Source organism: Homo sapiens, chromosome 4 (assembly GCF_000001405.40).
Source record: "Homo sapiens chromosome 4, GRCh38.p14 Primary Assembly".
Classification (NCBI taxonomy): Eukaryota; Metazoa; Chordata; class Mammalia; order Primates; family Hominidae; genus Homo; species Homo sapiens.
The window spans coordinates 175,892,255-175,909,438 of NC_000004.12; the positions used below are offsets into that span (position 1 = coordinate 175,892,255).

The window sequence follows — 17,184 nt, forward strand, 5'->3', positions numbered from 1 at the left end:
TCTTATTTCATTCGAACTTACTTCATTAACCTTAAAAAATACATCTAGAAAAACAATCTGCTACTTATTGTTCCCTATCCCTTCCCTACTTTTTCTCACTTCTTGGTCATTATTTGTGCTTTCTTCTCTCTCAAATGTCCAATACTGTCTATCCTTCAACTTGTAATTCATGTGTCAACTATTTCATGAATTCGTAAGCAGCCCCAACTGGAGTAATGGTCACTACTGTGAAATCCTGTTGCACTCTATTTTTACTTCTTATACTTATTGTTCATTCTTTCATTCCTTTATTCAATAAATATTTTCATCCACTTTGTAAGAGAGAGTGAAGGACTAAATTTTCCACTACGGCTCTTTCATTTGCTTGATCCCTACAGCTGTCTCTTCCTCCCATCCCCTCTGGCACATGACCTTCACCCAATTGCCCCTTCTCACCCTGTTGACATAATCCAAATTCCTCAAACAATGGCAGTGAATATACAAGAATCATCTTTGAGCAACTATTCCCAAAACTAGGTGAACTTCAACTACTTCCTCTTGCTAAACTCAATAAAAGCTCCGTCTTCCAGATTTTTACCTATATTGTTCTGACTGATTTTCTTCCAGGGTTTCAATGTCAAGACTCAGATCAGGACTGTGTTTTTGGGTGCTTGGCATTTCATCATGCCAGACACTCTGTTGATGTCTCCTCTCTTTGGAGTCCCAGTGACTAGACAGTTGGGCTGGTCCTGCTCCTGACCACTGTTCTGCTCCCTTTGCTTGAAAGCACTATCTAAGCTTTTATTCTTCCATCTTAATTGTCCTTGGTGTAAGCTTTTTCATTTGCACTGTTTCGCTACTTAATGGGTCTCCCCCATGGATAAGACAGGCATTGGAGACAGTGATGGTAAACCTACGAGCCTGATGCTCAGGTTCTCTTATTTTGAATCAATGTACTTGTGGGCTGCTATCCAGCTTCTTAAACTGTGGCAGGCTTTTATTAAGAACAACTTTGAACTTTATTGATAATACTAGAAAAACTTGGAATATGAAGAAAATAATCCTTTGTGATATGCCGTAGGAAAGGAGAAGTTTCAAAATTTCAACTATTCAATGATCAGCGTTTTTTATTTTTTGAAGTAGCCTCTACAACTTAAGAAATTTCTAAAACTGATTCCCTTAAGAACTCCTTAGAAAAGGTAATAAAAGCATGGAGTACCTAAAATCCTAAGTTAAACACTTCTCCCTTTCTCCTGACCTTACTCTGATCAGCCTCCCTCCTGGCCTCCCTTAAGCTGACTGCCTTTTTCCTCTTGTTCTATTCTTCCTCCTGATCCTCCAGCACCTTCATGGGGTCCTCCTTTCTTTCCTCGGCCAGTTTTTCTTAAACTACCCCCTGAATAGATAATATTCCTTCTTAATGTCTTATAAGACAGGTGGGGATGATAACTAACCTCATTCGTTTTATATCTTCAAATCTTTGTTCAGATCAGATTTGCATAATCTAGTTACGTTTCCTAACCTTCCTAAGTAAAAACAGAAGTTCACTGAAGAATATAAGTTTATTCTAGGAATGTGTAGTCTAAGATAACCTGATATCTATCAACTCATCTCTTTGTAGGACATGAAGGTGCTAAAACTCGGTAAGAAAAAGCGATATAAATTAATTAACAAAATGATATAAAATATAATGATCAACATTTGAGAGAGCTGCACACCTCACATTCTATCTCTGAGATCATTCCTGTTGAAATGGATTGGTCAAAAATCCAATCCTTAAAAAAGACAGAGATTAAAAATAAATTAATCTCTTATTTCAGAGACCCCTTAACTCCTACTTCTGAGAATACTGTTGTCTCAGTGTGGCTGATAATTTCACAAGTGCTTTATCCACCTTCTTTGTTGATCTTAAAACTGAGATGGCAGATATAATTGGAAAACAGAAGATAAGATAGCAGACCGTCCTCATGTTAGAATTACATTTTTTTTTAGTTCTTTGAAGATACTTTTGCTCAGAAAAAAAAGGAAAAGTGATAGACCAAATTAAGTGTTCTCAGCAACTACTAAGTCCAAGTGGGAAATCATCTATATCTAATCTATAGGAAGATACTTCTGTATATAGCGAAAAAGCGAGGAAGGGGTGCTAAAGAACAATTGCTCTGCCTTAGCTCGAAAGACAGAGTCACAAAATATAAAAGACTAACTCTGTCTGATAGAGTGACTCCCCTCTGAGGAAATAGCTGCTCCATTCTGCCCACAATTGCTTTTCATGAAAAGAAAGAGATTTTTATGCATGCAAAAAGAGTGTGTTCCATGGTTAATAATGTCTTCCAGTTAATAATGAGACTACATTTTCTACCCTTCTACCTTTCATCATTCCTAATCCAGAGTAACCTGCACAAACAACAAGAATACAAGGATTTTAATGTTAGTAGTATATATTTTTAATAGTAAAACCACAGAAACCCCTCAAAAATCTGTCAAAAGGGGAGTGGCTAAATCATTTTGGCTAATTAATTTCAAACACACTCTAGTATCATTTAGGAGGAAAACTCATACACAAAATATTATACAAAGAATACATGACCCCATTTTCTTATATAAGGGTCTTCGAAGTTCAAAAAGAGATTAAGTATCACATCATGCATCTACTAAGTGGCAGGTCCAAGTTTTAAACCCATTCTCTGTTTCTAAAAGTCAAAACACTATTACTGTAACACACTGCTTCCCAAATCAGTATACAGCATTGATAAGACATGTTACAACTGGTGTCTTACCATCCCTTTTTTTACTGTGTTACTTTGTGTTTCAGGGGACCCAGAATGCGATAGAGTGAGAAACCATGAATCAGTGAACTTTAAAGCAAACTCAAATACTTAAAGGCAAAACAAAATCTTCTTTGATCTTTAGAATGAAATCATCTTGTGATTCAGTATGCCAGTGAATGACTTGAGATGCCACCAGTGTAGCCAACTTGCTTTTAAATATGTGATCCATTTTGCTCTGTTTGGTAAGCTTCTATAAGGGCTGGAATAAACTAAATGACTCCATTTGGTTGCTATAAAGAATACGTGATTCAAAATCCTATTTATATTTTTCTCAGAATAAATTTAGGTTAATTTCAATTAAAGTAATACTGATATAAACAATGCATCCTATCTTTTCAAAAAAAATGGTGAATAAGTTAACTTTTCTTATTGCCAATTGGAAAAAACTAAGAACTTGGAAGGTAACTAACATTTCAAAAGTGTTACATGTTCTTTGCAGAAAATTTTGAAAACACAGATGAGGAAAAATAATATCTACAGGTATGTATATCACCAAGAGATATATAGTTACTAATAAATTTAAACAGATGACATGTTATGAACAAGTTAAAATTCCAAATCAACCTATTAATATAGTAACAGTAGGATATTGGTAAAGTCTCAACTGTAGAAGATACAATTAATCAATGTCACAAGTACTTAATAACATAGAAATTGTTGAAAATGGAATATTTATTTGGTTTGCAATATTTTCCAAATTCTGTATTAAGTATACTGTATATGATGTATGGGTATAATAGTGCATTTTTTGTAATTACCTCAAGTTAAAATATTTCCTAACAGCTTTTTTAGTAACTCTTCATAATCATACCTTGGCATAAACCCTGAAATATTTGATCTACTTTGTTTTTTATTTTATTATGTTTTCTATTACATTGGCTTTTATTAATCCTGAATCTCTCCATCTGTGGCCTTTTCCTATGACCTTTACTAAGCAAAGTTGCTGTTAACATCTGGTTGTTAAAATATAATTTGTAGTAGCTTTGTAAATAAAAAAGCGTGAACCACATATTATTACTTTTGCAAAGGATTTATAAATATGAGTCAGTAAACTCACTAGTTTCCATCCTGGAAGAGTGGCAGGAAATTAGACTTTTATCTTTTGGGGAAGCTTTACATTTCAGGATGATGAAGTCTCAGGGGGTTTTGGGGGACTCAAGGTAGATGGTAAGATCCCACATCGTTCTGCTTTGGTGACCACAGACACTTAGCCCAATCCATATAGTTCCTCAGGCCACAAAGTTCTGGGGTCTCTATGACAAACTTTTTAGGGTCACAGGTACCTAGCATCCTGCCTCCCTAAATGCACCAGAAAATTATCCTCAGATCATTCAACCTGCTCGGGGAGGTGCCTGGGATTCTGATGTGAGTTCAGCTATTCCTGAGATCCAGACATGTCTGCCCCCTTTGAAGCCTTAAGCCTTGATCTGACTCTTCAAAAGCCTTATTACTTCAAATTCTGTCTTCACTCTACCCCAGTTATGGACCCAACACTATTTCTTTAAAGAGTTTAAGAAAATTCAAAAAGCCTTTAACTCCAAAAGGCTTCTGTTTCTGTTTTCTGCTTCTGTTTCTGTCTTCTGCTTCTGTTTTCTGCCTTGCAAAAATCTCCCCATTAGATAGGCACCACAGGCCCTGTCTATCTTCTTGGGGTGGGGGCAGGAGACAGGGTAGAATCTGGGGAGAAATACATAAAATAATATCTTAGTAAAGCAACTTGCCATCACATTTGTTATTCAAGGCCATATTCTGTGTTAGTCAATGAAAAGACATTGATGTTTGACAGGACTTTTGGTTCATTTGTTTGTTTCAAATCACCCAGAAATCCTCTTCTTTGAGGTGGCATCTTTCATTTGAATAGTGTATCAGGGAAAATTATTATATTCACTGAAAATGTTTAATTCAAGATGATTAACTCAAGCACTTAAAGATCTCGTTTGCCTCATGAATCAGTCAGGGCCCAACATAGAAAACAAAAAGCATTCTAAGCATTTAAATCAAAAAAGTTAATACAGGGAATAAGATGAATAGGGGACAGAAGAGCCAAGAAGCCACATAGAAGACAGGGAGACATCCTCGGGATTAGGAAATGTAGGAAGCTGGTGTCCAGCCTGGGCTGGAGGGAGGAGGTGATGCTTGTGGTGTCCAGGGTCAGTGCAAGTGGCTGAAACCAGGATGGGCTTACATTGGAAGCTAGAGCCTCAGAGGAGCTGCATTTGAGAGGTGCCACTGAAGTCAGAGAACAAGGATAATAAATACCCTGGCTTCTCCTTACTTCCCACTCTCCAATCTCACTCCAGTGCCTCCCATTGATGGAATAATCCAGCTGAAAGGAAGCCAGCTGACAGGAAAGCCTGTGAAATGCGGTCTGCAGAGGTCAGGTCTCTTGTATATTGAGAAGGGGAGAGGTGAGGAATGGACCTTCCTTCATGCAGTCCAGAGACCAGCATATTTAAGAATTCTCAATACAACATAGGACAGGATTCTACTCATTTATTGCACAATGTTTCTACTACCCCTGGATTCCTTTAGTGAGTTTATTTCTTGCTTAAACTGTAAAAACGTTAGAGACCCATTCTTTGGAATATAAGATATTTAAGATTAGGGAGGCATGCACTTGAGAACTTAAGAAAGAAGAGTTTAGTACTAGACTCTACACTCCTTTTTATTCTAAAATCTCTCCCAGAAATTTTAAAATGTGTCTAGAAATGCATTGTTAATTGGGTCAATTGAGCTACTTTGGTTAAAGAATAAAATCAGCCTAGATTTCAGAACTGAAGAATCAGGTCCTCTGTACAAGCTAGTGATTCTAAAAATTGACTTTACTTAAATTAGAATCCCTCTTCTCTTGGCAACATTAATGATACCTGTTATATTTTACTAAAGTTGGCAAGTAAGACAACACTAAGCCTCTCTTCTCAATTTCAAATTGTAAATAATGAGAGACAGGCAAGATAACAATACCTTAAATCAGAATTATACCATGGTAGTTTGGTATTATAAGCTAATTTTGATAAATAAAAGCTATCACTCTGAGAGAAACCTTCTAGCTGCCTTAATCATTTACCCCTTAAACCAGTGCAACTGATTTCTCCATACCAATCCTGTCTTCTTTCATCTATCACATAAATTTTAAAATGATCTATGTAAAATGTAAATTTGATTATGTCATTCCTCTGCCTATATCACTTCAGTGGTTCATCACTGAATGGATAAAACTCAAACATTTCCATATATAATTACAAGTTCCCCAAGACCTGACACCCAACTACCTCTGACCTACTTCTGTTTTTGACCTTGAACCTCTGTGAATTCCAAGCTGCTTCTTACTTACTATATTCACTGGGTCTCAGAGGGTTTGTTTATGGTACATCTTTTATGGAAACATTTGTCTGATTTCCCTCTTCTGGTTGATACCCATGTAGATTCAGCTCCAGTAAGAGATTCTAATGCCCAAGAATGACCTTGCAAACACAGGCCCTCGGGGAATACGTTCTCCATTGTAATGCTTGCACTGTGATGTGACTGTCTGTTTCCATTTCTACCTCTCAAACATTCTGAGAACCCCTTGGGAGCAGGATTCACACCTTATTCTTCCTTGGTAAAACTACCAACAATGGCCCTCAAAAAATATGTGCTAAATGAAAGACTAAATACTACCAAAATATTCCAAACTGACTTCTATTCTCTCCCTTCTGACATTAATTATACAAATAGCCATCAAAGTTATGCTTCAAAATAAATAAATAAGATCATGTCATTTCTCTCTAGTAACATTGCTGATGCTGTCCATGAACCTATAGGTCACAAGGATTCGATTACTCATTCTTCAACACCATTTGTTCAACACCTAAGAGTTTGCCAGGTACCGTTCTCAGTACTAGAGTCTAAATAATGAATAAACAGACAAGTTTCCATGCTCATGGAACTGACTTTCTATGCTGTTTCACACCTTTCCTTCCTTACATACTGTATTGCTTCTTTTGTTAAGCAAAACCTTAGTCAGTTTTCAGTCCATGTTTAGATGCCACATATTCTTCCACACCCACAGACGAATTATTTGCTTCTTCCTCTCCCCTCTATTGCACAGAATTCATGTTTCTACTAAACAACTTAAAACTGTATTATGTAATTTTGTATTTATTTGCTTTTCCTGTAGTATTCTCCTAGTCCCATTAAGGCAGAGATAAAGAACTTGCATAAAGACAATATAAAATAGTTCTACAATTAAATAGTACAAAACAATTTTTTAAATGAAAAAAGCCTTTGAAGAGGCACTTCACAAAGAAAGATATATAAATAGACAATAAATACATGATAAATGCTAAGCATCATTAGTAAGTAGGGAAATACAAATAAAACCATTTAAAAATAAGACAGTGGAGGAATAACATTAGCTAACTTCAAATTATACTACAGATTATGATAACCAAAACAGCATGATACTGGCATAAAAACAAACACACAGACCAATGGAACAGAGTAAAGAACACAGAAATAAATCCATACATCTATAGTGAGCTCATTTTAAACAAAGGTGCCAAGAACATACACTTGGGGAAGAGAGTCTCTTTAATAAATGAAGCTGGCAAAATTGGATATGCGTATGCAGAAGAATGAAACTACACCCCTATCTCTCGCCATATACAAAAATCAAATCAAAATAGATTAAAGACATAAATCTAAAACCTCCGACAATGAATCTACCACAAAAAAAAATGGGGAAAATCTACAGGACATTGATCTCAGCAAAATTTCTTGAGCAATACCTCACAAGCACAGGCAACCAAAGCAAAAATGGACAAATGAGATCACATCAAGTTAAAAAGCTTCTGCACAGCAAAGGATCTAATCAACAAAGTGAAGAGAAAACCCAAAGAATGGGAGAAGATATTTGCAAACTACCCATCTGACACAGGATTAATAACCAGAATATGGCCAGGCACAGTGACTCACACCTGTAATCCCAGCACGTTGGGAGGCCGAGGCAGGCGGATCACCTGAGATCAGGAGTTCAAGATCAGCCTGGTGAAACCCTGTCTCTACTAAAAATACAAAAAAGTTAGTCAGGCGTGGTGGTGGGCACCTGTAATCCCAGCTACTTGGGAAGCTGAGGCAGAAGAATCTCTTGAACCCAAGAGGCGGAGGTTGCAGTGAGCCAAGATCGCACCACTGCACTCCAGTCTGGGTGACAAGAGCAAGACTCTGTCTTAAAAAAAAAAAAAGAGAGAAGAAAAGAAAAGAAGGAAAGGAAAGGAAAGGAAAGGAAAGGAAAGGAAAGGAAAGGAAAAGAAAGGAAAGGAAAAGAAAGGAAAGGAAAGGAAAGGAAAAAGCCAGAATATATAAGAAGCTCTATAGGAGAAAATCTAATAATCCGGTCAAAAAATGGGCAAAAAATATGAACAAACCCATCTCAAAAGAAGACATACAAATGGCAAAAAAAAAAGCATATGAAAAAGTGCTCAACATCATTGATCATCAGAGAAATGCAAATCAAAACTGCAATGAGATATCATCTCACCCCAGTTAAAATGGCTTTTATCCAAAAGATAGGCAATAACAAATGCTGGCAAGGATGTGGAGAAAAGGGAGCCCTTGTACACTGTTGGTGGGAATATACACTAGTACAACCACTATAGAAAACCATTAAGAGCTTCCTCAGAAACCTAAAAATAGAGCTGCCATATGATCCAACAATCCCACTGCTTGGTAGATACCCCAAATAAAGGAAATCAGTATATCAAAGAGATAGCTGCACTCCTATGTTTGTTGAAGCACTGTTTACAATAGCTAAGATTTGGAAGCAACCTACATGTCCATCAACAGATGAATGGATAAAGAAAATGTGGTACAGATACACAATGGAGTACTATTCAGCCATAAAAAAGAATGAGATCCAGTCATTTGCAACAGCATGGATAGAGCTGGAGATTACTATGTTAAGTGAAATAAGCCAGGCACAGAAATACAAATATCATATGTCCTTACCTATCTGTGGGATCTAAAAATCAAAACAATTGAACTCATGGACATAGAGAGTGGAGAATGGTTACCAGAGGCTGGGAAGGATAGTGGGGGGCTGAGGGCGAAGTTGGGGGCAGCAGAGGTGGGGGTGGTTAACAGGTACAAAAAAAATTAGAAAGAATGAAAAAGACATAGTATTTGATAGAACCACAGAGTAACTATAGTCAATAGTAATTTAATTGCATATTTTAAAATAACTTAAGAATGTAATTGAGTTGTTTGTAACTCAAAGGATAAATGCTCGAGAGGATGAATACCTCATTCTCCATGATGTGCTTATTTTATATTGCATGCCTGTATCAAAATATTTCATGTACCCCATAAATACATACACCTACTATGTACTCACAAATATTAAAAATAGAAAAATTAAAAATAAAATGAGATAGGATTATAACATTAGAGTAGCTACCATTAAAAAGAATTAAACACCAAAGGTTAGCTAGGATACAGAATTATCAGAACTCTCATATATTTTTTGGTGGGAGTGTAAATTTATAACTATTTTAGAAAAAGCTTTATAATTTTCTTTTTTTCTTTTTCTTTTTTTTTTTTCCTTTTTTTTTTTTTTGGACAAAGTCTCACTCTGTCTCCCAGGCTGGAGTGCAGTGGTGTAATGCAACCTCCGCCTCCTCAGTTCAAGCAATTCTCCTATCTCAGCCTCCCAAGTAGCTGGGATTACAGGCACCAGCCACCACGCCCAGCTAATTTTTGTATTTTTTAGTAGAGATGAGCTTTCACCATGTTGGCCAGGCTAGTCTTGAACCCCTGACCTAAAGTGATCCACCCACCTCAGCCTCTGAAAGTGCTGAGATTACAGGTGTGAGCCACCATGCCCAGCCTATAATTTTCTTAAAAAGTTAAATTAAAGGGTAAAATATTCCTCAACCCAATAACTCCACTTTTAGATTTTTATCCAATAGAAATGAAAATAAATGGCAACAAAAAGATGTGGACAAGAATGTGTGTAGCACCTTTTTTTGTAGTAGTCTAAAACTAGAAACAATCCAAAAGTCCATCAGCAAAAGGATGGATAAAAATTTGAAGTATTCTCATACAAGATGCTACTCTGGAATAAAAAAGAACAAATTACTGATATGGGGAACAACCTGGATGCCTTTCATAACCATTATGCTGAATGAAAAAAGCTGAACAAAAAGAATACATGGTTATGATATGGGAGCTAAAAAGAAATTATTTAGGTAGTTAGTGATGGTAAGAGATTCATTGGTAAGGTTTCCCTTTTAATAAAAAGCAGCCTCCAAATCATTTATTTCCTAAAAAAGAGCAGCCTGAAAAATTAAGCTGCAGACATAAATAAGCAAGTTAGAAGCTTGCATGGATGAATGTCAGCAGCTGTGCCAATAGGAAAAGGCTACCTGGGGGCCAGACATGTTCAACATGCAGGCTCCATCTTTCCTTTCTTTGTCACCATATGTACAGTAAGGAATAGGCAACATGGCATCGGACAGGTAGAGAACCATCTGCAAAATAAAAGATTTGGGTGGGGTGGCCAGATTCTTCCTCGCTATACAAATGGCGCACCTGGTCCGACCAATCTTGTTTGCCCTATGTAAATCAGACACCGCCTCCTCAAGCTCATCTATAAAACCCCGTGCATTTCGAGAAGGAACCAGCAACCCATTTTTCTCCGGGACCCCTCTCTCTGCAGCAGAGAGAGCTCTTCTCTTTCTTTCACCTATTAAACTTCTGCTCTTAACGTCACGCTGGTGTGTCTGCGCCCTAGTTTTCCGTGGCAATGGGAAAACGAAACTCAGCTATTACCCCAGATGAACGACACAGCTTCCGTTATGATTCCATTTTTATAAAGCTCTAGAATAACAGCTAATCTATGATAAATAAATATAGAAATAAAGATATCTAAATATGTACATATGTTTTCTAGAGAGAGCTGAGAAGCAACAACACGCTAATAACAGTAAGTACATCTATAACCCAGATCTTGGTTTCTGAATATTAATCTTCACTAAAAGAAACCACGGCTCCTTAGAGAAATGACTGATTCTGGGGTTGATGAAGGGAAATAATGATAAGCTGGAATCTCTTGTTGCAACAGAGAGTGACAAAAGTTTTCGAATAATGATGGAATCCTATCCAAAAGACACAGGAGGCTCTCATTGGCCAAACTCATGTCATTTGACTATCAAAATAAATAACTCTAATAGATTGTAATTCATTGAAAAAAAAAGAATCAATGAGTAAATTAATAGATAAATAAATAGAAAAAGTCTCCCTTAAAGGGGAATGTATACTAGTAAATATAGAGGGAATGATGAAGTAAGAAAATATCATTGAATTACTTGAAGCTAAAGCTAATTAGGTGAATATTTGATGAGAAAAAAATTTATATATCATCTCAAAGTATCTCCCCACAAACTACTTACTAATTACAAAGGGGAAAAGGAATAACTTCACACTGGAGAAGCTTTAATCAACCAATCAACATTAACACCTGCAATTTTAGGACAAACAACAACGTGCCTCCTGATGTGATGCACTGGGAATAGCACCATGTGTTCCTGTGGTATTCCTGCAGAAAAAGCAAAACTGGAATTTAATCTTGAGGAATCAGCAAACAAACCCACACTGAGGGACATTCCATAAAATAAGTGTCCTATAATTTTTTTAAATCTCAAGATTAAAAACAATGGTTGAGAAACTCTTTCAGATTGAAGTAATCTAGAGAACCATGATAACAAGTCCAGTGGAGGGTCCTGGAGTGAGTGAGGAACCAAGGAAAAAATTGGGACAGCCAGCCAAAGCGAATATGGACCATGGATAACGTGATATATAGTATCAATATCACACGCCAAAATGGGATCATTGTACTATAGTTATGTCAGAGAATGTCCTTCTGGGGAAATACATGTGAAGAGAATATTTTTCTCAAAATAATAGAAAACAAAACTTGAAAGAGATTTCTACTATATTCTATGTGGATGGAGTAAAAGAAGTAAAGTTAGGGAGTAGCACACTATTTTTTTCAATGTTTCCAATGACATTCAAAAATATAAGTAATGGGAAGATAGCCACATTTACAGTAAACTCTATTATCATTCTTAATAAAAAAAGTTTAATTATCCATGAAAGACACTATTTACAACCCATATTTATTATTCTGCCTAAGATAGCAAATGTGTTTTTCAGTTTATGACAGGCAACCGATATTATTAGAAATTATAAAGAAGACAAAAGTCAAATTTCATTTAAAATATCTGCTTTCAGTAAAGTGTCAAGCATTCTTAGACTTGAGCTAACATAAAAGATATTTGACTTTGAGTGATATTTTACAGATACATGTACACATGTGTCTACATACATATGTATACATATACACACACATATATATACACACACATACATGTTCATAAACACATATAAAATGCACACATTTAAAGTAAACATTCTATTTTTTGAGATTTTTCTAAAAAAATAAGACCTCCAGAACAGTCAAAAGTAGACTACCACCACTTGGCACTCAACACTGGTAACCCTGAAAGGATGAACGTTTGGAGATTTTTTGGTTTATTATATCTGAACGTGAAGGTATAGTATCTTGAAAAAGATAATGGCCTCTCCTGACCACAAAGCTCCTACAATTTATGGAAAAAATAAATAACTAATTGCATAATTCCTGAGTGCTTTTGTCTAATCTTGGGCTTAGTGCTGGTTGTTATTAAATATTTCCTGAATTACTCATGTAAGATACATCAAAAGTAACCAAAGAAGTTATTTTCAGCATCTTCAGAAGGTACATCAATTTTAAAATTTGCCATTTCTTAGTTCACCTTAAACCAGACGGATATTGTAAGAAAGGGAAATTTTTTCCTCTACCCTCGTAAGTTCAGTGGCTGGTGCCCTGCAAGTTAAACCTACAAAAGGGAGATTAACAGGAAAAATCATTTATCACATATGCATATGAAGTCCTTCATAGAAAAAAAGCAAAGACCCAAAAAAGCAGTTAAACCCAGGGATACACAGCATTTTAACATAGAGCAACAAACTGTGGAAGTGACAAGATGAAGGAAAACAGGATTAGGCTTTTAAGGGTGGTTAATTGTGGGAAGGTAAATCTGTAGGAGAAACTAATGAAAGATAAGGGTTGTTTAGTAAGGTCTGTTATTCAGATTCCTCTCAGTTGCTGTCTCTGGGCTGAGCCTAGGTCAAGCTTGTCCAATCCACTGCCTGTGGGCTACATGTGGCCCAGAATGGCTTTGAATGCAGCCCAACACAAATTCATAAACTTTCTTAAAAGGTTCTAAGTTTTTTTGTGATTTTTTTTTTCTCATCAGCTATTGTTAGTGTTAATGTTAGTGTATTTTATGTGTGGCCCAAGACAATTCTTCTTCTTCCACTGTGGCCCAGGGAAGCCAAAAGATTGGACACCCCTGGAGATCATCTCTGGTGATTACAAACCATTCTCCCTTTCCTGGCACAAGAGAAGGGAGAAGGTGGGGCACCTTCACGAAGGGAAATTTATGACCTGATTTTAGCCAAATACAGGAGGGTAGAAGTCTTTTCAATGTTTACTGTTTCTCAGTTGCCTTCGGCTCAAAATAATCCTTATGCCAAAGTGCTATATTTTGGGGTGGCATACTCTGATCCCTTTCAGTATATATTTTCTAATATTAAGGAATCATCTAAAAATACGGGTCTTCATATTGTCTAAGAATGCTAATTTTGGAAAACCGCCGATGTTCATGCTTTCCTTTAATTGTGAAGATGCAATGCCTTTTGTCCTTTCGTCATTAAGAAAAAAAGAGCATTTTTGTAGACTTTTACTAAATATCAGCACTTAGTTTCTTTCTCAATTAGATTGAAACAGCTGGTGTGGACCGCATTTCCCTGTATCTTTGCTTACCAGAAGCATTTGGGAAGTCAACAGAATAACATTGCAGCAGGGACTTCTCTTGGTAATGAAAATTGCAGAATGGTTTCAATAAGAGTGAACATTTAAGGCCCATTAAGTCATCTTTCTTATTGTGCTTAACACCATCAAATTCAATGAGTGAATCAATGGCCACAGCTGGATGCAAGAAGCATTGAAATTCAAGAACGATGTCACTGCATCAGTGACAACAAGCCTAAGAAGTAGTGGGTGAAAGATAGAAAGTCATCACTGAATTTTGATTGTAGCTCAGCATCAGATTAGAGGATGACTTGATATCTCACAATGATTCATTAAACCTAAGATTCATGATGTCAAGGGGAGGGAAAGACAGCACAAACATTCTTGAATGTTTAGCAGTGAGCACTTAAGGATAAATTTATAATTTGGTTTTGGCTTTTGATTTAGTCAAGATAATGCAAACCACAGGATCTTTTCATTTTTATCAGACAAATAGATAAAAACCAATTTTAGAAAACAAGCCTTCAAACTCCAGTGCTCTTATTTTTCTCTCCTCATTATTTTTTATAGACCGTAACCATGGTGATATTCAGACACACAGCTCTGTTTCTTGCATAGCTTCCAAGCTTGCATGTCTGCATGTCACCACCTCCGCACGACAGCAGCCACACTTAGACTCTTTGAAATCCAGTTTTACCTTTCTTTATTTCATTTCCTTGTAATTCTAATGAGTCCAATCCGATACTGCAAACTTGGGGCCACCACCAAGCACATCTTTCCCTTCTCAGAGCTGTGGGTGCAGATGCTGCGATTGACTTGGATGGAATTCTACCCTGATGAGAACCCAAATTAAGTTGGGAAATCTCAGCTACAGAAGTAAGGAACATTATCAGCCACTGAAATAGATGAAAGTGAAGAGCATTTATGACATCACTGAAAGCAAGTTTTGTCTTTCAGATTCTGTTAATAGGTAAAATTACCTTCAGAGTCACAGCAGACCAGCCATCTGCCACAAGAACAAATGACCTGTGGCCATTCCAGTTAAAAGAGCTAGCATTTCTCCTTAAAACTCATAAGTACAACTTACCTCTTAGCCATTGCAGCTGACAAGCTCAGTGGGTACCTCAAGAATAATTTGGCTTCTCTGGTGTACCATGGTAGCTTTCTGGCTGCCTTACTACCTCTTCCTGGTCTGTCTTACAGAACACCTGCTGCCTCAGAACACTGGTTTTTCTCTCCTACATGCCATTCTTCCACCTCCAATCAGATTCACGTACACATGCATACACCCAAGAGGACTACTTGTTCCCATGAGAGTCCTCTAGTTTTAATTGTGCTCTTTTCCAATCTCAATCCCAACTAAATCCACTTTATTCCTAGACTCTCCTTGTCTCTCATTAAATTGCTGGTCTCAAAACCGCATCTGTTTGAAGTAGCAGACCTTCTAGACATAGTTCAAATGAGCTTGCATCTACATCTGTGTCCTCTGATGTTCCACGAATCCTAAGTCTATTCAATATTCATGCACAGTCAGTCCCAGCCTCTGCATCAAAAATCAAAACTGTGGATAGGAGTTGAGGACATGCTACCCCCAAATATGACACCTTGGCATTTGCGAAAACAGCAGAAGCAGGAAAGTCACTCTCACCTTCTCTTGCCCTTCTGTCCTGAAACAGGTCATAAAACCCTCCGGTGAGAAAGGAATATCCTCTTATCTGAAGGCACAGGGGCAAAGAAAGAAAACTGAACCAACAGGCTTGCTATGTTTCTTCTGGTTTATTACTATTAGATCACACTTTATATCCAATCTTTATGACTATTTACTTCTTCATCAAACCTAGCATAAAAGATAAACATGTTTATCTATTTCTTTGGGTCTTCATTTACTTATGAAGGCTCCCATGTCACATAAAAGGTGTATTAAATAAGTTCGTATGCTTTTTCCTCCTTATTCTGTCTTTTGTTATAGGGGCCTCAGCCATAAACCTACGATGGGTAAGGGAAATATATTCTTCGTCTCCTACACTGTTGAATAGTAAAGGATTTTTAGGGTTAACAGGAAGCAGGGAATAAGTGAATGTAAAGACTGAATGTGAGCAGAGAAAAACAGTAAATGTAGAAAAAAGAATATATTAACGAATAACTATTTGGCCATAGTTATCATGTTATATATAATATCACTTATTACTATGTAATTTATGAAAACCTGTCAAGTCTCCATTTGTCTAGTGATAATTTTTTAAAATGCAATCTATTTTAAACAATCTAGAGATTCTAAATAATTTGTCCACAGCAGATGCCCTATTACCACTCATACACAAATCCCAACATACTAATGATGTCATGCCTATGAATGGGGCAGTCTATTTCTAACTTATCTGACCTTGAACATGCCTAGATTCTTCAGATCCCTGTGTCTTCTATATCCTCATCTGCAAAGTGAAATTGATTAGAAGACTGCCAATATCCTACCAGTCTCTACAGGCTAGTGTTACTCATTCCCCTGGCTTTAATTTGAACACATAAACAAAAATTATCAAACATAGACTGAAAATCCTCAAGTTTTCCAAAGTTAAAAAAAAAGACAGTTTAAAAGAAAAGATACCTGATCTAGGGATAAACTTTGAGGAAGAAGAAGTTTGTATCATCAAAGGGGCCTTTATAGGAAAGTTGCCTTAGCTGGTTCCAGCAAATAGAATCTTTATATTCCTACAAGGATAAAGAAGAAGATCTCAACAAAGGAAGGATATTTCAACAAAAATTTAAAAGCTATTTTTATGTAGAACTATCACTGAGGCTTTATTTCACATCAACTAAAAATAGACTGTGTGAAAACAATTCAAATAAATTTGTTATGAACCATATAAGAAAAGATTGTTTTTCTCATATTGTATTGGGCTTTGTCTTTGCAAGAATAATTACTAGAAAATGAGAGTGAGCTAGCTTTACTGATTTGTTCTCTTATATACCCTATCCGTAAAAGCACACAATGATTTTCTGTTTTCCCATCGCTCTTGAACGAGGATGCTCCCTGTGTTATCCTGATCACTGCATTTTGCCACTAGAGGCAGACAAAAAAAAAAGGGCGGGGGGGGGGCAACTAGCTCATAACCAACTTAATCAGGTCTTACTATAACTCAGAAATAGTAACTGAAAGAAAAAAAATGCTGTTAATACAAGTTCTTTTATTATCGGGAAAGATAGGTCAGAAAATATCACCAATTAGCTAGTAGTCATCAATGATTATGTGATAACAGAGAAAAGAGGCGCCTTGACTGAAAAAGGCAAATTTAGCTTTAGTCAAACACATATCAGCGGTTGCTAAGACAGTCCAAATGTTTTCAGATCCTTTCTCCAACTGGCGCATTTGGATAAGTAGTCATACTTTTCAAAATTTCACATGTATGATCAGATTTAATCATCCCGATAATCTAGGAAGGTAGAGAAATGCCAGTGTAAATATAGAGTAAGTTTACCATACTT

The 17,184-nt window shown here is 36.5% G+C and overlaps 1 protein-coding gene and 1 long non-coding RNA gene across 5 annotated transcripts in view, besides 1 other annotated feature; both read right to left on the reverse strand.

Moving 5' to 3' along the window:
* The window catches only part of GPM6A (glycoprotein M6A), a 369,457-nt gene that overhangs the window by 259,318 nt on the left and 92,955 nt on the right, over positions 1–17,184 (reverse strand). The window lies entirely within an intron of this gene.
* LOC107984113 (uncharacterized) overlaps positions 9,672–17,184 on the reverse strand; it is a 59,731-nt gene continuing 52,218 nt past the window's right edge. The window contains exon 4 of the long non-coding RNA XR_001741924.3: positions 9,672–16,410. This is a non-coding gene — a long non-coding RNA (uncharacterized LOC107984113). The remainder of the gene's footprint in view (positions 16,411–17,184) is intronic.
* Positions 13,579–14,139: an enhancer, noted in NCBI's record as "OCT4-NANOG hESC enhancer chr4:176826984-176827544 (GRCh37/hg19 assembly coordinates)". NCBI's record gives its function as "activates a minimal SCP1, AML or CMV promoter by ChIP-STARR-seq in naive H9 embryonic stem cells {active_cell/tissue: H9 hESC(naive)}" and the evidence as "EXISTENCE:reporter gene assay evidence [ECO:0000049][PMID:30033119]".